Genomic DNA, 18,298 nt, shown 5'->3' with positions numbered 1-18,298 from the left:
TGCCACTGCACTCCAGCCTGGGCGACAGTGACCCTGTCCCCCTCCCCCACCCCCCCAAAAAAAGAAAAGAAAACAAGAACAGTAGTCAAATCTCTAGGGGCTCCAGTGAGTAGGTGAGGATAGGGTGCGGTGGAGAAGCTGAAAGATGCTAAATAGCCTGGCTCCCCAGGGATCTGGGAAGTGCTCACTCAGTAGAACCTCCCTCTTGGAAGGACGAAGCTCCACACGGGTGAAAACTAATAGAGAAACAAAACCCAAACTGATCTTGGCAGGCGCTCAGAGAGTAAAACAGAGGGAAGGTTCTGATAATGGTGGGGGCAAGAACCAAGGAGATAAGAGTTTGCTCCTGAACATTGGAGAGGTGGCTGTGCTGAGTGGTTATATATTGAATACAGTACTGTGGGGAAACAGCAAAGAGCCAACCTATTTATTTATTGTGTGTGTGTGTATATATATATATAGACAGAGAGAGAGACGGGCTCGCTCTGTCGCCCAGGCTGAAGTGCAGTGGCATGATCTTGGCTCACTGCAACCTCCGCCTCCTGGGTTCAAGCGATTCTCCTTCCTCAGCCTCCTGAGTAGCTGGGACCTCAGGTGCCCACCACCATGCCCAGAGAGTTTTCTTTTTCTTTTCTTTTTTTTTTTTAGACAGAGTCTTGCTCTGTCGCCCAGGTTGGAATGCAGTGGCACGATCTCAGCTGCCTACAGCCTCTGCCTCCTGGGTTCAAGAGATTCCTGTGCCTCAACCTCCCGAGTAGCTGGGACCTCAGGTGCACACCACTGCACCCAGCTAATTTTTTTAATTTTAGTAGAGGCAGGTTTCACCATGTGGGCCAGATTGGTCTTGAACTCCTAACCTCAGGGGATTCACCTGCCTCAGCCTCCCAAACTGCTGGGATTACAGGCGTGAGCCACCGTGCCTGGCCAAACTTAAAAGAAATTTTTTTTTAATTTTGTGAGATGGAGTTTACCTCTTGTTGCCCAGGCTGGAGTGCAGTGGCGCAATCTTGGCTCACCACAACCTCTGCCTCCCAGGTTCAAGCGATTCTACTGCCCCAGCCTCCCGAGTAGCTGGGATTATAGGCATGCACCACCACACCAAGCTACTTTTGTATTTTTAGTAGAGACGGGGTTTCTCCATGTTCGTCAGGCTGGTCTCAGCCAAACTTTAAGATTTTTAAGGCTCAGAAAGCTATCCTGGCCCACCCTAGTGCTAACTGTGCAACTTTCTCCTAAGGGTACAGCTCACTTAAATGTGAGGAAAAGAAGAGGAGTGTGAGGCTGGCCGTGGTGGTTCACACCTGTAATCCCAAAACTTTGAGAGGCCGAGGCGGGCGGATCTCCTGAGGTCGGGAGTTCGAGACCAGCCTGACCAACATGGTGAAACCCCATCTCTACTAAAAATACAAAATTAGCCAGGCTTGGTGGTGCATGCCTGTAATCCCAGCCACTCCGGAGGCTGAGGCAGGAGAATCGCTTGAACCTGGGCAGCGGAGGTTGCGGTGAACCGAAATTGTGTCATTGCACCCCAGCCTGGGCAACAAGAGTGAAACTCTGTCTGCAAAGAAGAAGAAGAAGAAGAAGAGTGTGACCAAATTTATGTAGAGCTGTGCACTGAGGGAAAATAGTGTCCTGGAAGCTTCAGGTCTACCTGGAACCTCTGAATGTGATCTTCCTGGGAAATAGGGTCTTTGTAGATGGAATCAAGTTCAGGTGAGCTCATACTGGGTTGGGGTGTGTGCTAAATCCTATGTGACTGGCGTCCTTATAGGAAGAGGGAAATTAAGACAAAGAGTCAGGCGCAGTAGCTCACACCTATAATCCCAGCACTGTGGGAGGCCGAGGTGGGAGGATGGCTTGAGCCCAGGAGTTCAAGACCAGCCTGGCCAACATAGTGAGACCCTGTCTGTACAAAAGTAAAAGTTAAACTAGCCAGGGCCAAGCACAGTGGCTCACGCTTGTAATCCCAGCACTTTGGGAGGCTGAGGTGGACGGATCACCTGAGGCCAGGAGTTGAAGAACAACCTGGTCAATAAGCAAAACCCCGTCACTACTAAAAATACAAAAATTAGCCAGGTGTGGTGGTGCGCGCCTGTAGTCCCAGCTACCTGGGAGGCTGAGGCAGGAGAATTGCTTGATCCTGGGAGGCGGCGGTTGCAGTGAGCCGAAATCATGCCACTGCACTCCAGCCTGGGCGACAGAGTGAGACTCCATCTCAAAAAAAAAAAAGAAAAAAAAATCATAAGTGAAGGCTCTATTAGAAAGAGCATGAGAGGAAATAGACACAACAGAGGAAAAAAAAATTTTTTTTAGGTGGAGTCTTGCTCTGTAGCCTGCTTGTTCTGGGGTGCAGTGGAGCCGTAATACCTCATGCAGCCTTGACCTCCTGGGCTCAAGTGAGCCTCCCACCTGAGCCCCACGAGTAGCTGGGATTACACCTGGCTAATTTTTCTATTTTTTGTAGAGACGGGAATCTCGCTATGTTACCCAGGCTGGTCTCAAACTCCTGGTCTCGAACAATCCTCCCCACTCAGCCTCCCAAAGTGCTGGGATTACAGGTGTAAGCCACCATGCCTGGTCTAATTTTTTATTTTTTAGAGACAGATCTCACTGTGTCGTGCAGGCTGTAGTGCTGTGGCACAGCCACCATCAATCTTCCAGGCTCAGGTGATCCTCACACCTCAGGCTCCAGGGTAGTTGAATTTCTTTCTTTTTTTTTTTTAAATAGACGGAGTCTCGCTGTGTCGCCAGGCTGGAGTGCAGTGGCACGATCTCGGCTGACTGCAACCTTTGCCTCCTGGGTTCAAGCGATTCTCATGCCTCAGCCTCCCAAGTAGCTGGGATTACAGGCACACGCGACCACACCCAGCTAATTTTTGTATTTTTAGTAGAGACGGGGTTTCACCATGTTGACCAGGATGGTCTCCATCTCCTGACCTTGTGATCCGCCCACCCTGGCCTTACAAAGTGCTGGGATTACAGGCTTGAACCACCGTGCCTGGCCCGAAATTTTAATTTTTGTAGAGATGGTGTCTCGTTATGTTGCCCAGGCTGGTCTCAAATTCCTGGCCTTAAGTTATCCTCCTGCCTCAGCCTCCCAAAGTGCTGGGATTACAAGCGTGAGCCGCTGCACCTGGCCAACGTTTGCAAAGGATTTGGGATGCAGATTTCACTCAACCAAAGAGCGAACTAGAGTCACTCCCAGCCCCTATAGCCAATGCTTGAGTGTGGAATCTCTGTCAATAAATTCATCCCAATTCAACATTCAATTGCTTCCATCATGCCCCATCATTCCCCAGTGATCCCGTCCCAGACCGGCTTCTCAGTGTGGGTTCTGTCAATATCAGTGAGCAAGGTCTTGCAGTTCTCCGGGTGCATATGGCAGCCCTCACCGCCCACACCCTGCAGCTCATCCTGTACAACCTGCCGGGAGCTGAGTCTGGACGCAGGTCTGGAAGCATCCAGAGCTGGGGGGCTTGACCCTGCGGAGGATCCGTGGTTCCCTGCGAGACAGCAACCTAGGACAGGCTTTGCAGACAGGGGACCCCAGACTGTCCAGATGAGGAAAGCGGCTCCTTCTACAGGAAGTGGGTACAACAGGGTTGGGAGTTCAAGGTCCTCAGGTACAGTGAAGTGTCCCCATTTGAACACATTTCTCAGCTTCCCTGCCTGCCTTTCCTCTCTCTGGGTCTCTGTCCCCCTCTGTCTGTGGATCTCTGTTCCTCTCTCTCTGGGTCTCTGTCTCCCTTTTCCCTGGGTCTTCTCCTCCCTCTAGGTCTCTGTCCTCTCTCTGGGTCTCTGTCCCCCTCTCTCTGGGCCTCTGTTCCCCTCTCTCTCTGGGTCTCTGTCCCCCACTCCCCGGGTCTCTGTCTCCCTCTCTCTGGGCCTCTGTCCCCCTCTCTCTCTGGGTCTCTGTCCCCCTCTCTCTCTGGGCCTCTGTCATCCCCCGGGTCTCTGTCCCCCTCTCTCTGGGCCTCTGTCCCCCCTCTCTCTGGGCCTATGTCCCCCTCTCTCTCTGGGTCTCTGTCCCTCTCTCTCTGTGTCTCTGTCCCCCTCTCTGTGGGTCTCTGTCCCCCTCTCTCTCTGGGTCTCTGTCCTCCTCTCTCTGGGTCTCTGTTCCCCCTCTCTGTGGGTCTCTGTTCCCCTCTCTCTCTGGGTCTCTGTCCTCCTCTCTCTGGGTCTCTGTCCCCCCTCTCTGTGGGTCTCTGTTCCCCTCTCTCTCTGGGTCTCTGTCCCCCTCTCTCTCTGGGTCTCTGTCCCCCTCTCTCTCTGGGTCTCTGTCCCCCTCTCTCTCTGGGTCTCTGTCCCCCCCCTTCCTCTGGGTCTCTGTCCCTCTCTCTGAGTCTCTGTCTTCCTTTTTCCCTGGGTCTCTGCCCCCCCTCTCTCTGGGTCTCTGTCCCCCTCTCTCTCTGGGTCTCTATCCCCCTCTCTCTCTGGGTCTCTGTCCCCCTCTCTCTCTGGGTCTCTGTCCCCCCCTCTCTCTGGGTCTTTGTCCCCCTTTCTCTCTGTGTCTCTGTCTCCCTCTCTCTGGGACTCTCCCTCTCTCTCTGGGTCTCTGTCCCCTACTCTCTCTGAGTCTCTGTCTTCCTTTTTCCCTGGGTCTCTGTCCCCCTCTCTCTCTGGGTCTCTGTCCCCCTCTCTCTCTGGGTCTCTGTCCCCTTCTCTCTCTGAGTCTCTGTCTTCCTTTTTCCCTGGGTCTCTGTTCCCCTCTCTCTCTGGGTCTCTGTCCCCCTCTCTCTCTGGGTCTTTGTCCCCCTTTCTCTCTGGGTCTCTGTCTCCCTCTCTCTGGGACTCTCCCTCTCTCTCTGGGTCTCTGTCCCCTTCTCTCTCTGAGTCTCTGTCTTCCTTTTTCCCTGGGTCTCTGTCCCCCTCTCTGGGTCTCTGTCCCCCTCTCTCTCTGGGTCTCTGTCCCCCTCTCTCTCTGGGTCTCTGTCCCCCTCTCTCTCTGGGTCTCTGTCTCCCTCTCTCTCTGGGTCTCTGTCCCCCTCTCTCTCTGGGTCTCTGTTGCCCTCTCTCTCTGGGTCTCTGTCTCCCTCTCTCTGGGACTCTCCCTCTCTCTCTGGGTCTCTGTCTCCCTATCTCTGGGTCTCTGACCCCCCCATCAGGTCCCTGTCCCCCCTTCTCTCTGGATGTTGGGCTCTGACCTTCCCTCTGGGTCTGTGTCTCCTGGTCTCCAGCCTGGCATGGCGGGCGGGTGGGAACCGGGTCAGGATGGTGCCCAGTGCTCCCTCCTCTTTCCACACTGGCCACCTCGCCTTTCCTTGACAGCAGTATGCGGTCTCTTCTGACAAGGAACTTACGTGTCACCTGAGTCACCCCCAGGACCTAAACCACTGCTCGGGAGCTTTGTGAAATTTCAAATTCTATTTCCTTCCCTTGACTGAGCCAGGCTTGTGTGATCAGAGTTGAAAACTACCCTTTCTACAAATGGTGACTTTCATTTTTTCTGGGCATCAAGTCCCTCCAGTGACCCTCGGCCACCCACAGTTAGGTCCTTTTGACTGTGATATTTCTCTCACTTGAACTTTGGACTTAAAATGAAGGGTCCAGGATGACAACTCCCACCCGGCTGCAGCAACTGGGGCTGGCCCAGGCCAGCTTCCTTCCTACCAGGAAGTGGCTTGAAGAACAATATGGAAATCTCGGTTGCGTGAGGGGAGCGAGACCGGGCAACTTGCTTGCCGGGACTGGAATCTATGACGCTCATTACATAAGGACCCCCATGGAAGGAGTCCCAGCTGAAGTCCAAGCCGGGAGGGTTGGCACACACCTGTAATCCCAGCTACTTGGGAGGCTGAGACAGGAGAATCGCTTGAATACAGGAGGTGGAGGTTGCAGTGAGCTGAGATTGCACCACTGCACTCCAGCCTGGGTGGCAGAGAGAGACTCTGTCTCAAAAATAAACAAACAAACAAACAAATAAATAAAAGTAAACGCCGGGTGCAGTATCTCACGCCTGTAATCCCAGCACTTTGAGAGGCCAAGGTGGGCAGATCACTTGAGGTCAAGAATTTGAGACCAGCCTGACCAACATGGTGAAACCCCGTCTCTACTAAAAACACAAAAATTAGCTGGCCATAGTGGTGGTGCCTGTAATCCTAGCTACTCCAGAGCTGAGAATCGCTTAAGCCCAGGAGACAGAGGTGGCAGTGAACCAAGATTGTGCCACTGCACTCCAGCCTGGGCAACAGAGCGAGACTCTGTCTCAAAAAACAAGCAGCCAGGCGTGGTGGCTCACGCCTATAACCCCAGCACTTTGGGAGGCTGAGGCGGGCGGATCACCTGAGGTGGGGAGTTCGAGACCAGCCTGACCAACATGGAGAAACCCCATCTCTACTAAAAATACAAAATTATCTGGGCATGGTGGCGCATGCCCATAATCCCAGCTACTCGGGAGGCTGAGGCAGGAGAATCACTTGAAGCCGGGAGGCGGAGATTGTGGTGAGCCGAGATTGTGCCATTGCACTCCAGCCTTGGCAACAAGAGGGAAACTCTGTCTCAAAACAAACAAACAAGCAATCAAACAAACAAACGGGTGTGGTGGCGCTTGTCTGTAGTCCCAGCTACTCGGGAGGCTAAGGCAGGAGAATCGCTTGAACCCAGGAGACGGAGGTTGCAGGGAGCCGAGATTGTGCCACTGCACTTGGGCCTGGTGACAGAGCGAGACTCCATCTCAGAAAAAAAACAAAATAAGATAAATAAATAAATAAATATTAAAAAGTTCATAAGGACCCAGATGGAAGAATTCCAGGTTTCAGCTCCTTTTCCTGAGAACCCAAACTCCCACCCTCCAGCCCCTTTTTTCTCAGACCAGGATGCCTAAGTCTGCAGTCCCCAGTTCTCCTGTGATCCAGGTGTCCAGATGTCCAGCCCACTGATTCCCCAGAACTTGGGTGTTACACTAGCCCCAAACCTACTCCAGGACCCAGGAGTCCTTGTCCCAGATTTGAGGCCCAACAGATCTCATTCCTGCTGCTAAATGATGCCAGAAAACTACATCTCCCATGAGGATGTGAGTGTGCTGTGTCACCTCGTAAAAGCTCCCCTGTTATCGAGGTAGCTCTATGAAATAGTTACACAACGCTCACACAAGTTGAGGGGTTGTAGAAAGAAGTCCTGCTCTTTCATTTTATTTTTATATTTATTTATTTATTTATTTATTTATTTATTTTTTTGAGATGGAATCTCGCTCTGTGGCCTGGGCTGGAGTGCAGTGGCGCGATCTCGGCTCACTGCAAGCTCCGCCTCCCGCATTCACGCCATTCTGCCTCAGCCTCCGGAGTAGCTGGGACTACAGGCGCCCGCCACCACGCCCAGCTAATTTTGTTTTTGTATTTTTAGTAGAGACGGGGTTTCATCGTATTAGCCAGGATAGTCTCAATCTCCTGACCTCGTGATCCACCTGCCTCGGCCTCCCAAAGTGCTGGGATTACAGGCGTAAGCCACCACTCCCGGCCAGTCTTGTCCTTTCAGAGAGCAGGGATAGTCCACAGTCCCTGGGGACACTTTAGCAGAGTAGAAAAGTGAGGCTGGGCTGGGCACAGTGACTCAAGCCTGTAATCCCAGCACTTTGGGAGGCCAAGGCAGGCAGGTCATGAAGTCAAGAGATGGAGAGCATCCTGGCCAACATGGCGAAACCCTGTCTCTACTAAAATTACAAAATTAGCTGGGTGTGGTGGCGCACGCCTGTAATCACAGCTACTCGGGTGGCTGAGGCAGGAGAATTGCTTGAACCTGGGAGGCGGAGGTTGGAGTGAGCCAAGATCGCGCCACTGCACTCCAGCCTGGGTGACAGAGCGAGACTCCGTCTCAAAAAAAAAAAAAGAAAAGAAAAGAAAAAAGTGAGGCCCAGTGGGAAGCCAGGACCCTCGGACCACGTGAGGGGAGGTGTAGAGGGGATTGTCCGGGCCAAGGGAGACAAAACAGCTGCCATGTCTTCCCTCAGACACTCACACATGCTCATTCTTATCCTCCTCTGGAACTCTTTATTATCTCAAGTAAGAAAAATAAAAAAATAAATAAGATAAATAACCTAATAAATAAAGAGGAGATGTCATAGTAAACAGCCTCTGGCTTCAGGAAGCGTAGCTGGGGCTTCGGCCCTGGGAAGGTCCCACCATGCTCAGAGGGTCCGAGGAGCCCACATCGGGGGGCTGGGGGGCCAGGATTCCGGGTGGCTCCGGGAGTGCGGGGGGCAGGCCTGGTAGTGGCAGGAAGCGAGCTGGTCCTCGGGGTGCAGGGTCCCGGTGTGGGGACTTGTTCCCTGGCAGGTGCAGCGGGAGGCCGTGGGCTTCGGACTGGTAAACATTGTATCCGTCCTCAAGAAGCAGCTCCCGGAAGCTGCAGGCCTCAGGGTCAAAGTGGAGCTAGGGGACAAAAACAGGATCAGAGACAGGGTTCCTCTGTTTTCCTGATGTAAGACCCAGGATCCAGGCCCCAGCCCTGCCTCCCTCAGACCCAGGGGTCCAGGCCCCCAGCGCCTCCTCCCTCAGACCCAGGGGTCCAGACCCTAGTTTCTCCTCCATCCGACCCAGGAGTCCAGGCCCCCAGCGCCTCCTCCCTCAGACCCGGGGTTCCAGGCCCCAGCCTCTCCTCCCTCAGACCCGGGGTTCCAGGCCCCAGCCTCTCCTCCCTCAGACCCGGGGTTCCAGGCCCCAGCCCCTCCTCCCTCAGACCCAGGGGTCCAGGCCCCCAGCCCCTCCTCCCTCAGACCCAGGAGTCCAGGCCCCCAGCCCCTCCTCTAGGAAACAAAACAGCAAGGCAGGTTTTGTTTTTTACCCCAGGGCTCTCCTGCAGGGACCTGCCTCCCAGTTCAGACTTCACAGAGAACATTCCAGCCCTCGGAGCCATCAGTGCTCTCTCAGGCCAGGCGGGGTGTCTCCCTAGCACTCAAGGTCCTGGTCACTTTACTGGCCATGGCTTCCCCGAGTGTCCCTGTGCCCAGCATGAGCCGTGCACACAGGGGCCGTGTGGGCAGGAGCAGGGGTTACTGAATCACGAGACTCCCAATAACCTGAGCCTCAGGCCGCTCCAGCATCCACACATCACATGATTGAGGTCACTGGCGCCCCGGCCTGGGCCTCAGTTTCCTCATCTTGCAAACACTGATGACAACTTCAACCTCCAAATGTTGCAGCTGGGGGCGTGCAGAGCAAATAGAATCAAGTCTGGCTCCGGGGGGGATGAGCAAGACAAGGCACCCCAGGCTGTGAGGGCGACATATAGGAGGAGCATGGTGGGTGGTGAGGAGGGTCCTGGAAACTCACCGATCCATACAGGGCCCCATCTGGCCGCTGGCACAGGAACCTGGATGTCTTGACTCCCAAGATTTGAATAACTCCCGGCTTCAAGGCTTTCAGCTGCAGGAGACCTAAGGGGTGAAAGCGATAAGGTGGTTCGAGGACCTCTCCCACCCGGGACTGTCCCACCACCCGACTCTGTCCCACCATCCGGCTCTGTCCCAGCCCTGGGAGTCCAAGCCCACAGCCTACCTCCTCCCTCAGACCCAGGAGAAGCCCAAGCCAAAGCCCCCTCCCAACTCAGACCCAAGAGTCCAGGACCCCAGCCCTTCCTCCTTCAAACCCAAGAGTCCAGACCCCCAGCCCCTCCTCCCTCAGACCCAGGGGTCCAGACCCAGCCCCTCCTCCCTCAGACCCAGGGGCCCAGATCCCCAGCCCCTCCTCCCTCAGACCCAGGAGTCCAGATCCCCAGCCCCTCCTCCCTCAGACCCAGGGGCCAAGGCCCCCAGCCCCTCCTCCCTCAGACCCAGGAATCCAGACCCACAGCCCCTCCTCCCTCAGACCCAGGCTCTGGCCCACACTCACTTTCGGGGCTCTGGTCAGCAGCGCCCCCCACCGTCCCATCCTCCCTGATCTCCAGGTGGGCTTCTGTCTGCTGGGCATCATCTGTGTAGAGGTACCGCTGCCGGACTTGGCCCCCGAATTGCAGGAGAGGACTGGAGTCAGGGATGGGGTGTGCCTGGCAGGCTCCCAGCAGAAGACCAGCCAGCACAGAAACCCACAGTCCTGAGTGCTCGAACCCGGTCTCGTCCGAGTCCATCAATGGCTCGGGTCCTCAGGTGATCTCCGGGGTGTGAGCTCGGAGAAGCTGAGTGGTTTAGAATTGGTGCCAGATTCCAGTTGTCCAGGTGAGTAGACTCAGGTGGCCTGAGTGCCTGGCTCCTCTTTCGGCTGGATCCTCAGCTGACAGAACACCCTTGTTTTTTGGGATAGATGCAGAAGCTCCAGAATTTATACCCAGACAGGCCCGCCCAATCACCCTCCCTGCGCCTGAACCATGATATTTGACCCATTTGGCAGGAGCTACAGAATTCCATCGTGGCAAGGGCAGCCTGAATGGATGATGTAACCTGGGGTCCTTTCAATGGAGGGCCAGACTCCTGGGTCTAGGGGATGAGGGAGGGGAGGATCGGGTTAGCTGGGACCCAGGTGAAAGGGGCTGGGGGCCCACATTCCTGAGTCTCAGAGAGAAGGATCTGGGGTCTCAAGCACCTGAGTCGGAGGGAGGAGGGGTGCTGGGCTCCTGGAAAAACCACCTCTTGGACCATCTATGCAGATCACGCAGAACAAGAGAAATTTCTGCGCCCCATCTGAATTTCTAAGTTTGGGGGGAGGGCGTGATCTGACACTGAGGTTCCTTGATCCTCAGCAAGGCGGCAATTGCTGTATGAAAGAAGCGACCGCATCTGAGACACAAGTATCCTGCCTTGGAAGCCTCTCACCTGGCCGTGGGCCAACCTCAACCTCATCTGTCCCTGCTCAGATGCTCAGACCCTGGACATCCCAGCCTCCTCCTCCCTGATGCAATCCTGGTGTTTCTTTCACCAGAGAAGCCATCCCAGGCCCAGGCAGGTGCTCCTGAAATAACCTGGGGGGAGGGGTGGCTGAAAGTCCCTGACTGGAGTTGGCAGCCAAGCCAGGCCCTGGAGTGGGCACCCAGAGGGAAGACAGGTTGGCTAATTTCCTGGAGCCCCTAAGGGTGCAAGGGTAGGCCTTCTGTGTCTGAGGGAGGAGGGCTGGGGCTCTGGACTCCTGGGTCTGAGGGAGGAGGGGTGGGGGGCCTGGACTCCTGGGTCTGAGGGAGGAGGGTCTGGGCCTGTACTCCTGGATCTGAGGGAGGAGGGGCTGGGGAACTTGGGCTCCTGGGTCTGAGGGAGGAGGGAGCTTTGGTCTGGACTCCTGGGTCTGAGGGAGTAGGGGCTAGGGATCTGGACTCGTGGGTGTGAGGAAGGAGGGGCTGGGGTCCTGGACTCCTGGGTCTGAGGAAGGAGGGGCAGGGGGCTTGGACTCCTGGGTCTGAGGAAGGAGGGGCCGGGAGCCTGGACTCCTAAGTCTGAGGGAGGAGGGTCTGGGGGCCTGGACTGCTGGGTGTGAGCAGAAGGGTCTGGGTGCTGGGAGTCCCGAGCCTGGGGAGATGATGGTTAAACTTCTGGGAATCAAGTCAAACTCCTGAGTCTTTGACATTGATGTATCTTGAATGGGAGGGTCAGTCTGTGGGGAAGGATTACCCAGGTGCCGAGGCAAGAGACTGAAGGCACAAACTGTTTCAGTATAATAAAGAAAATAGTTAGAATAAGAATAGTTATCATACAAATTAGATATAGAGATGATCATGGACAGTATCAATCATTAGTGTAAACATTATTAATCATTAGCTATTACTTTTATTCTTTGTTGTATAACTAATATAACCAGGAAACAACCGGTGGGTATAGGGTCAGGTACTGAAGGGACATTGTGAGAAGTGACCTAGAAGGCAAGAGGTGAGCCTTCTGTCACACCGGCATAAGGGCCTCTTGAGGGCTCCTTGGTCAAGCGGGAACGCCAGTGTCTGGGAAGGCACCCGTTACTCAGCAGACCACGAAAGGGAATCTCCTTTTCTTGGAGGAGTCAGGGAACACTCTGCTCCACCAGCTTCTTGTGGGAGGCTGGGTATTATCTAGGCCTGCCCGCAGTCATCCTGCTGTGCTGTGCTTCAATGGTCACGCTCCTTGTCCTCTTGCATTTTCCTCCCGTACTCCTGGTTCCTCTTTGAAGTTCGTAGTAGATAGCGGTAGAAGAAATAGTGAAAGCCTTTTTTTTTTTTTTTTTGAGGCGGAGTCTCGCTCTGTCCCCCAGGCTGGAGTGCAGTGGCGTGATCTCGGCTCACTGCAATCTCCGCCTCCTGGGTTCACACCATTCTCCTGCCTCACCCTCCCAAATAGCTAGGACTACAGGCGCCCTCCACCACGCGCCCGGATAATTTTTTGTATTTTTAGTAGAGACAGGGTTTCACCGTGTTAGCCAGGATGGCCTCCACCTCCTGACCTTGTGATCCGCCCGCCTCAGCCTCCCAAAGTGCTGGGATTACAGGCGTGAGCCACCGCGCCCGCCCGAAATAGTGAAAGTCTTAAAGTCTTTGATCTTTCTTATAAGTGCAGAGAAGAAAACGCTGACATATGCTGCCTTCTCTTTCTGCTTCGGCTGCCTAAAAGGGAAGGGCCCCCTGTCCCATGATCACGTGACTTGCTTGACCTTATCAGTCATTTGGACGACTCACCCTCCTTATCCTGCCCCCCCTTGTCTTGTATACAATAAATATCAGCGCGCCCAGCCATTCGGGGCCACTACCGGTCTCTGCGTCTTGATGGTAGTGGTCCCCCGGGCCCAGCTGTTTTCTCTTTATCTCTTTGTCTTGTGTCTTTATTTCTTACAATCTCTCCTCTCCTCACAGGGGAAGAACACCCACCCGCAAAGCCCCGTAGGGCTGGACCCTACGTTAGCCTGCCCTGCTCGGGGTTGGCGATGCTGGAGGTGGGCCTTGGACCAGAGAAAATGCTTTAATTAGGTGACAAGCGGGCAGAGGCCTTTGTCTCTGGCGCCGGCAGCCACGGCCCCCGCTGACGGCGTGGGAAACAGACCCTGTTCCACTCCGGTCTCCAGCCTTGGAATGGTTGCCTTCGTGCAGTGCAGGTCTGGAAAGTAGCAGTTTGGCACGGGACCCTAGAATTCCCCAAAAGGAGTGACTAGGGGCTGGGATTCTGGAATTTGAGTGTGGACGGTGAGGCGGGGGGTGTGGGAGATCGGAGACCCTGGTGGGCGCGGGAGCACCTGCAGGCTGGAGGCCCTCGCGCGCTCCGGCGGCAGCCTGGCAAACAGGTTCTCCATCCCCCAGGAGGACGCGGCAGAGGGCGGACGATCGCTCCACTCGCCGGGACCAGGTGCGGGGGCCCTGCCCAGCCGCTGGGGCGTGGCCAGGCTCGAAGCACCCAGGTGTCGGGGGCCGACTCTAAGCCCTGGCACCGGAAGAGAGAGGGCGGCGGATTGGACCTCCCGGCTCCAGCATTGCAACTGGGCGCTCCGTCTCCTGGTCCACGCAATGATGCTGCGGCTGCTCAGAAGCCAGGTAGCCTGCCCTGGGTGAAGCCTTCGCGCAGGTCAATGACGGGGCGGAGGGGCAGGGCGCGGTCCCCTGCATCCCCGATCTGGGGAGCGGTGGGCCCAGGGGCCATCGCCTTAGCCCCTGGCGCTGGGGCTCGGCGCCAAGTGACGGGCGGGGCTCCACCTTCCAGCCATCCGCCCGGCCCGGGAGGGCGGACGCTGCGAGACTCCCGGCCGCGCCCTCTCCTTCCTCTCCTCCCCAAGCCCTCGCTGCCAGTCCGGACAGGCTGCGCGGAGGGGAGGGCTGCCGGGCCGGATAGCCGGACGCCTGGCGTTCCAGGGGCGGCCGGATGTGGCCTGCCTTTGCGGAGGGTGCGCTCCGGCCACGAAAAGCGGACTGTGGATCTGCCACCTGCAAGCAGCTCGGGTAAGTGGGGACTGCCCCACTCAGTTGTTCCTGGGACCCAGGAACAACTCCTTCAGAACCAGGAGGTGCACCCCCAACCTCTTCTCCAGGTCTTCCTAAGGCCCTAGGAATCTCCGCCACCTCCCCAGCCATTACTCCTCCAGGAACCAAGATGCTCCTTCCGCTCCTGACCCTCCAGCCTCTCTTGTTTTACTTGAACTATCGTTTCCCATCACCACCTCTGTGGTGGATTTTGCGCCTCACAGACAGGTACTCCTGAGAAACAGGCTGGTGGAAGAGTCCAGTATCAGCGGAACTTACAGGAGGGGAGACTCGAGATTCCTTCAGGAAAGGTGTAGGAACCTGGACCACTTTCTTTTTTTTTTTTTTTTTTTTTTTTTAAGACAGGGTCCCTCTCTGTCGCGCAAGCTGGAGTGCAGTCAGCGGTGCTATCGCGGCTCATTGTGAGCTCCGGGGATCCTCCCGCCTTAGCATCCGGTGTAGCTGAGACCACAGACATGTGCCACCATGCCAAGCTAATTTTATTTATTTTTTTTTGGAGACGGAGTTTCACTCTTGTTGCCCAGGCTGGAGTGTAATGGCATGATCTCAGCTCACCGCAACTCCCGCCCCCCGGGTTCAGGCGATTCTCCTGCCTCAGCCTCCCGAGTGGCTGGGATTACAGGCATGCGCCACCATGCCCGGCTAATTTTGTATTTTAAGTAGAGACAGGGTTTCTCCACGTTGGTCAGGCTGGTCTCGAACTCCCAACCTCAGGTGATCCACCCACCTTGGCCTCCCAAAGTGCTGGGGTTACAGGTGTGAGCCACCGCGCCTGGCCCATGCCAAGCTAATTTTAAAATTTTTTTGTAAGAGTGCTCTGTTGCCCAGGCTGATCTTGAACTCCTGGGCTCAAGGGATCCTCCCATCTCAGCCTCCCAATATGCTGGGATTACAGGTGTGAGCCACAGTGCCCAGCCAAACCATGGCTATCTTGAAAACCACTTGTCTTCCAGTCCCCATGCCCCGAAATTCCAAGGCTCTCATCCCTGAAACCTAGGACTCAGGCTCTCCCTACCTCAGCCCCAGGAGTCTAAACCTTTAACTTCCTCTTTCCCTGGGACTAAGGAGTGCTGCACCCCAGGCGCCTCCCTTACCCCACATCCCTCCTCAGCCTCCCCTCCTCAGCCTCAGAGCATTTGCTAATTCGCCTTTCCTCCCCTGCAGCCATGTGGCTCCGGAGCCATCGTCAGCTCTGCCTGGCCTTCCTGCTAGTCTGTGTCCTCTCTGTAATCTTCTTCCTCCATATCCATCAAGACAGCTTTCCACATGGCCTAGGCCTGTCGATCCTGTGTCCAGACCGCCGCCTGGTGACACCCCCAGTGGCCATCTTCTGCCTGCCGGGTACTGCGATGGGCCCCAACGCCTCCTCTTCCTGTCCCCAGCACCCTGCTTCCCTCTCCGGCACCTGGACTGTCTACCCCAATGGCCGGTTTGGTAATCAGATGGGACAGTATGCCACGCTGCTGGCTCTGGCCCAGCTCAACGGCCGCCGGGCCTTTATCCTGCCTGCCATGCATGCCGCCCTGGCCCCGGTATTCCGCATCACCCTGCCCGTGCTGGCCCCAGAAGTGGACAGCCGCACGCCGTGGCGGGAGCTGCAGCTTCACGACTGGATGTCGGAGGAGTACGCGGACTTGAGAGATCCTTTCCTGAAGCTCTCTGGCTTCCCCTGCTCTTGGACTTTCTTCCACCATCTCCGGGAACAGATCCGCAGAGAGTTCACCCTGCACGACCACCTTCGGGAAGAGGCGCAGAGTGTGCTGGGTCAGCTCCGCCTGGGCCGCACAGGGGACCGCCCGCGCACCTTTGTCGGCGTCCACGTGCGCCGTGGGGACTATCTGCAGGTTATGCCTCAGCGCTGGAAGGGTGTGGTGGGCGACAGCGCCTACCTCCGGCAGGCCATGGACTGGTTCCGGGCACGGCACGAAGCCCCCGTTTTCGTGGTCACCAGCAACGGCATGGAGTGGTGTAAAGAAAACATCGACACCTCCCAGGGCGATGTGACGTTTGCTGGCGATGGACAGGAGGCTACACCGTGGAAAGACTTTGCCCTGCTCACACAGTGCAACCACACCATTATGACCATTGGCACCTTCGGCTTCTGGGCTGCCTACCTGGCTGGCGGAGACACTGTCTACCTGGCCAACTTCACCCTGCCAGACTCTGAGTTCCTGAAGATCTTTAAGCCGGAGGCGGCCTTCCTGCCCGAGTGGGTGGGCATTAATGCAGACTTGTCTCCACTCTGGACATTGGCTAAGCCTTGAGAGCCAGGGAGACTTTCTGAAGTAGCCTGATCTTTCTAGAGCCAGCAGTACGTGGCTTCAGAGGCCTGGCATCTTCTGGAGAAGCTTGTGGTGTTCCTGAAGCAAATGGGTGCCCGTATCCAGAGTGATTCTAGTTGGGAGAGTTGGAGAGAAGGGGGACGTTTCTGGAACTGTCTGAATATTCTAGAACTAGCAAAACATCTTTTCCTGATGGCTGGCAGGCAGTTCTAGAAGCCACAGTGCCCACCTGCTCTTCCCAGCCCATATCTACAGTACTTCCAGATGGCTGCCCCCAGGAATGGGGAACTCTCCCTCTGGTCTACTCTAGAAGAGGGGTTACTTCTCCCCTGGGTCCTCCAAAGACTGAAGGAGCATATGATTGCTCCAGAGCAAGCATTCACCAAGTCCCCTTCTGTGTTTCTGGAGTGATTCTAGAGGGAGACTTGTTCTAGAGAGGACCAGGTTTGATGCCTGTGAAGAACCCTGCAGGGCCCTTATGGACAGGATGGGGTTCTGGAAATCCAGATAACTAAGGTGAAGAATCTTTTTAGTTTTTTTTTTTTTTTTTTGGAGACAGGGTCTCGCTCTGTTGCCCAGGCTGGAGTGCAGTGGCGTGATCTTGGCTCACTGCAACTTCCGCCTCCTGTGTTCAAGCGATTCTCCTGTCTCAGCCTCCTGAGTAGATGGGACTACAGGCACAGGCCATTATGCCTGGCTAATTTTTGTATTTTTAGTAGAGACAGGGTTTCACCATGTTGGCCAGGATGGTCTCGATCTCCTGACCTTGTCATCCACCTGTCTTGGCCTCCCAAAGTGCTGGGATTACTGGCATGAGCCACTGTGCCCAGCCCGGATATTTTTTTTTTAATTATTTATTTATTTATTTATTTATTGAGACGGAGTCTTGCTCTGTAGCCCAGGCCAGAGTGCAGTGGCGCGATCTCAGCTCACTGCAAGCTCTGCCTCCCGGGTTCATGCCATTCTGCCTCAGCCTCCTGAGTAGCTGGGACTACAGGCGCCCGCCACCACGCCCGGCTAATTTTTTTTGTATTTTTAGTAGAGACGGGGTTTCATCGTGTTAACCAGGATGGTCTCGATCTCCTGACCTCGTGATCTGCCCACCTCGGCCTCCCACAGTGCTGGGATTACCGGCGTGAGCCACCATGCCTGGCCCGGATAATTTTTTTTAATTTTTGTAGAGACGAGGTCTTGTGATATTGCCCAGGCTGTTCTTCAACTCCTGGGCTCAAGCAGTCCTCCCACCTTGGCCTCCCAGAATGCTGGGTTTATAGATGTGAGCCAGCACACCGGGCCAAGTGAAGAATCTAATGAATGTGCAACCTAATTGTAGCATCTAATGAATGTTCCACCATTGCTGGAAAAATTGAGATGGAAAACAAACCATCTCTAGTTGGCCAGCGTCTTGCTCTGTTCACAGTCTCTGGAAAAGCTGGGGTAGTTGGTGAGCAGAGCGGGACTCTGTCCAACAAGCCCCACAGCCCCTCAAAGACTTTTTTTTGTTTGTTTTGAGCAGACAGGCTAAAATGTGAACGTGGGGTGAGGGATCACTGCCAAAATGGTACAGCTTCTGGAGCAGAACTTTCCAGGGATCCAGGGACACTTTTTTTTAAAGCTCATAAACTGCCAAGAGCTCCATATATTGGGTGTGAGTTCAGGTTGCCTCTCACAATGAAGGAAGTTGGTCTTTGTCTGCAGGTGGGCTGCTGAGGGTCTGGGATCTGTTTTCTGGAAGTGTGCAGGTATAAACACACCCTCTGTGCTTGTGACAAACTGGCAGGTACCGTGCTCATTGCTAACCACTGTCTGTCCCTGAACTCCCAGAACCACTACATCTGGCTTTGGGCAGGTCTGAGATAAAACGATCTAAAGGTAGGCAGACCCTGGACCCAGCCTCAGATCCAGGCAGGAGCACGAGGTCTGGCCAAGGTGGACGGGGTTGTCGAGATCTCAGGAGCCCCTTGCTGTTTTTTGGAGGGTGAAAGAAGAAACCTTAAACATAGTCAGCTCTGATCACATCCCCTGTCTACTCATCCAGACCCCATGCCTGTAGGCTTATCAGGGAGTTACAGTTACAATTGTTACAGTACTGTTCCCAACTCAGCTGCCACGGGTGAGAGAGCAGGAGGTATGAATTAAAAGTCTACAGCACTAACCCGTGTCTCTGT

The 18,298-nt window shown here is 55.2% G+C and overlaps 2 protein-coding genes across 4 annotated transcripts, besides 21 other annotated features; one reads left to right on the top strand and one right to left on the bottom strand.

The window, feature by feature from the left end:
• Positions 7,630-11,169: a promoter, noted in NCBI's record as "3 kb promoter fragment in the pGL4-FUT1 construct". NCBI's record gives its function as "drives FUT1 transcription by reporter assays with c-Jun cotransfection in HEK293 embryonic kidney cells and SKOV3, OVCAT3 and HO8910 ovarian cancer cells {active_cell/tissue: HEK293(+c-Jun) | SKOV3(+c-Jun) | OVCAT3(+c-Jun) | HO8910(+c-Jun)}" and the evidence as "EXISTENCE:reporter gene assay evidence [ECO:0000049][PMID:25239830]".
• Positions 7,630-11,550: a biological region, named in NCBI's record as "FGF21/FUT1 promoter region". NCBI's record gives its function as "regulatory_interactions: FGF21 | FUT1".
• Positions 7,966-10,772, bottom strand: FGF21 (fibroblast growth factor 21). The gene is made up of 4 exons (NM_019113.4): positions 10,512-10,772; positions 9,825-10,405; positions 9,267-9,370; positions 7,966-8,366 (listed from the first exon to the last, which is right to left on the bottom strand). The coding sequence occupies exons 2-4, from the start codon at positions 10,057-10,059 to the stop codon at positions 8,076-8,078; spliced, it is 630 nt and encodes a 209-aa protein (NP_061986.1). The 5' UTR covers positions 10,060-10,405; positions 10,512-10,772; the 3' UTR covers positions 7,966-8,075.
• Positions 8,983-9,005: a protein binding site, noted in NCBI's record as "AP-1 binding probe". NCBI's record gives the evidence for it as "EXISTENCE:protein binding evidence [ECO:0000024][PMID:25239830]".
• Positions 8,991-8,997: a transcriptional cis regulatory region, noted in NCBI's record as "region mutated in the pGL4-FUT1-M construct". NCBI's record gives its function as "necessary for c-Jun activation of the 3 kb FUT1 promoter in HEK293 embryonic kidney cells and SKOV3, OVCAT3 and HO8910 ovarian cancer cells {active_cell/tissue: HEK293(+c-Jun) | SKOV3(+c-Jun) | OVCAT3(+c-Jun) | HO8910(+c-Jun)}" and the evidence as "EXISTENCE:site-directed mutagenesis evidence [ECO:0005528][PMID:25239830]".
• Positions 9,821-10,684: an enhancer, noted in NCBI's record as "H3K27ac-H3K4me1 hESC enhancer chr19:49258869-49259732 (GRCh37/hg19 assembly coordinates)". NCBI's record gives its function as "activates a minimal SCP1, AML or CMV promoter by ChIP-STARR-seq in primed H9 embryonic stem cells {active_cell/tissue: H9 hESC(primed)}" and the evidence as "EXISTENCE:reporter gene assay evidence [ECO:0000049][PMID:30033119]".
• Positions 10,092-10,859: a promoter, noted in NCBI's record as "fragment used in the FGF21(-650/+117) promoter construct". NCBI's record gives its function as "drives FGF21 transcription stimulated by retinoic acid in reporter assays in HepG2 cells {active_cell/tissue: HepG2(+retinoic acid)}" and the evidence as "EXISTENCE:reporter gene assay evidence [ECO:0000049][PMID:23430257]".
• Positions 10,092-11,060: a promoter, noted in NCBI's record as "fragment used in the FGF21(-850/+117) promoter construct". NCBI's record gives its function as "drives FGF21 transcription stimulated by retinoic acid in reporter assays in HepG2 cells {active_cell/tissue: HepG2(+retinoic acid)}" and the evidence as "EXISTENCE:reporter gene assay evidence [ECO:0000049][PMID:23430257]".
• Positions 10,260-10,280: a protein binding site, noted in NCBI's record as "SP1 binding probe". NCBI's record gives the evidence for it as "EXISTENCE:protein binding evidence [ECO:0000024][PMID:23018034]".
• Positions 10,328-10,934: a promoter, noted in NCBI's record as "-521 to +86 exon 1 fragment used in the reporter construct". NCBI's record gives its function as "drives FUT1 transcription in reporter assays in K562 cells, with weaker activity in HEL cells {active_cell/tissue: HEL | K562}" and the evidence as "EXISTENCE:reporter gene assay evidence [ECO:0000049][PMID:9760178]".
• Positions 10,347-10,385: a protein binding site, noted in NCBI's record as "AARE2 probe that binds both ATF4 and C/EBP-beta". NCBI's record gives its function as "positive regulation of FGF21" and the evidence as "EXISTENCE:protein binding evidence [ECO:0000024][PMID:22233381]".
• Positions 10,347-10,385: a protein binding site, noted in NCBI's record as "AARE2 probe that binds both ATF4 and C/EBP-beta". NCBI's record gives its function as "positive regulation of FGF21" and the evidence as "EXISTENCE:protein binding evidence [ECO:0000024][PMID:22233381]".
• Positions 10,488-11,048: a transcriptional cis regulatory region, noted in NCBI's record as "promoter|chr19:49258505-49259065 region (GRCh37/hg19 assembly coordinates) targeted for CRISPR interference". NCBI's record gives its function as "positively regulates FUT1 gene expression in K562 cells {active_cell/tissue: K562}" and the evidence as "EXISTENCE:mutant phenotype evidence [ECO:0000015][PMID:31784727]".
• Positions 10,685-11,550: an enhancer, noted in NCBI's record as "H3K27ac-H3K4me1 hESC enhancer chr19:49258003-49258868 (GRCh37/hg19 assembly coordinates)". NCBI's record gives its function as "activates a minimal SCP1, AML or CMV promoter by ChIP-STARR-seq in primed H9 embryonic stem cells {active_cell/tissue: H9 hESC(primed)}" and the evidence as "EXISTENCE:reporter gene assay evidence [ECO:0000049][PMID:30033119]".
• Positions 10,804-10,843: a protein binding site, noted in NCBI's record as "AARE1 probe that binds both ATF4 and C/EBP-beta". NCBI's record gives its function as "positive regulation of FGF21" and the evidence as "EXISTENCE:protein binding evidence [ECO:0000024][PMID:22233381]".
• Positions 10,804-10,843: a protein binding site, noted in NCBI's record as "AARE1 probe that binds both ATF4 and C/EBP-beta". NCBI's record gives its function as "positive regulation of FGF21" and the evidence as "EXISTENCE:protein binding evidence [ECO:0000024][PMID:22233381]".
• Positions 10,805-10,813: a transcriptional cis regulatory region, noted in NCBI's record as "region of the active -90_+1 promoter fragment that is missing in the inactive -81_+1 promoter fragment". NCBI's record gives its function as "important for activity of the -90 to +1 FUT1 promoter in transfected DLD-1 cells {active_cell/tissue: DLD-1}" and the evidence as "EXISTENCE:reporter gene assay evidence [ECO:0000049][PMID:23533340]".
• Positions 10,805-10,896: a promoter, noted in NCBI's record as "-90 to +1 fragment used in the pGL4.11/-90_+1 reporter construct". NCBI's record gives its function as "drives transcription of FUT1 in transfected DLD-1 cells {active_cell/tissue: DLD-1}" and the evidence as "EXISTENCE:reporter gene assay evidence [ECO:0000049][PMID:23533340]".
• Positions 10,841-10,853: a transcriptional cis regulatory region, noted in NCBI's record as "RARE sequence mutated in the mutRARE construct". NCBI's record gives its function as "mediates induction of the -650/+117 FGF21 promoter by retinoic acid {active_cell/tissue: HepG2(+retinoic acid)}" and the evidence as "EXISTENCE:site-directed mutagenesis evidence [ECO:0005528][PMID:23430257]".
• FUT1 (fucosyltransferase 1 (H blood group)) lies at positions 10,938-18,285 on the top strand. Of its 3 annotated transcripts, NM_001329877.1 has the most exons (5): positions 12,636-12,648; positions 12,733-12,971; positions 13,174-13,404; positions 13,571-13,806; positions 15,013-18,285. In NM_001329877.1, the coding sequence occupies exon 5, from the start codon at positions 15,015-15,017 to the stop codon at positions 16,110-16,112; it is 1,098 nt and encodes a 365-aa protein (NP_001316806.1). In that variant the 5' UTR covers positions 12,636-12,648; positions 12,733-12,971; positions 13,174-13,404; positions 13,571-13,806; positions 15,013-15,014; the 3' UTR covers positions 16,113-18,285. The 3 variants fall into 3 exon arrangements, with proteins under 3 accessions (NP_000139.1, NP_001316806.1, NP_001371288.1); NM_000148.4 differs by lacking the exon at positions 12,636-12,648 and adding an exon at positions 10,938-11,006 and having other exon boundaries at positions 13,174-13,806; NM_001384359.1 differs by lacking the exons at positions 12,636-12,648; positions 12,733-12,971; positions 13,174-13,404 and having other exon boundaries at positions 13,655-13,806.
• Positions 12,867-13,453: an enhancer, noted in NCBI's record as "H3K4me1 hESC enhancer chr19:49256100-49256686 (GRCh37/hg19 assembly coordinates)". NCBI's record gives its function as "activates a minimal SCP1, AML or CMV promoter by ChIP-STARR-seq in naive H9 embryonic stem cells {active_cell/tissue: H9 hESC(naive)}" and the evidence as "EXISTENCE:reporter gene assay evidence [ECO:0000049][PMID:30033119]".
• Positions 13,569-13,618: a silencer, noted in NCBI's record as "silent region_10901". NCBI's record gives its function as "represses an Ori minimal core promoter by ATAC-STARR-seq in GM12878 lymphoblastoid cells {active_cell/tissue: GM12878}" and the evidence as "EXISTENCE:reporter gene assay evidence [ECO:0000049][PMID:35858748]".
• Positions 14,659-15,298: an enhancer, noted in NCBI's record as "H3K4me1 hESC enhancer chr19:49254255-49254894 (GRCh37/hg19 assembly coordinates)". NCBI's record gives its function as "activates a minimal SCP1, AML or CMV promoter by ChIP-STARR-seq in primed H9 embryonic stem cells {active_cell/tissue: H9 hESC(primed)}" and the evidence as "EXISTENCE:reporter gene assay evidence [ECO:0000049][PMID:30033119]".

This window comes from Homo sapiens, chromosome 19 (assembly GCF_000001405.40).
Source record: "Homo sapiens chromosome 19, GRCh38.p14 Primary Assembly".
In the NCBI taxonomy this organism is placed as follows: Eukaryota; Metazoa; Chordata; class Mammalia; order Primates; family Hominidae; genus Homo; species Homo sapiens.
The sequence above is the reverse complement of the archived record's forward strand: the minus strand, read 5'-3'. Positions and strand labels throughout refer to the sequence as shown.

What these genes read in the sequence shown, in the direction of transcription:
- FGF21 (NM_019113.4), bottom strand. Translation starts at nt 10,059, where the DNA reads ATGGACTCGGACGAGACCGGGTTCGAGCACTCAGGACTGTGGGTTTCT. An exon ending in TGCTGACCAGAGCCCCGAAA is followed by an intron (nt 9,371 to 9,824) that starts GTGAGTGTGGGC and finishes TTCACCCCTTAG; the next exon opens with GTCTCCTGCAGCTGAAAGCC. An exon ending in ATGGGGCCCTGTATGGATCG is followed by an intron (nt 8,367 to 9,266) that starts GTGAGTTTCCAG and finishes TTTGTCCCCTAG; the next exon opens with CTCCACTTTGACCCTGAGGC.
- FUT1 (NM_000148.4), top strand. Translation starts at nt 15,015, where the DNA reads ATGTGGCTCCGGAGCCATCGTCAGCTCTGCCTGGCCTTCCTGCTAGTC.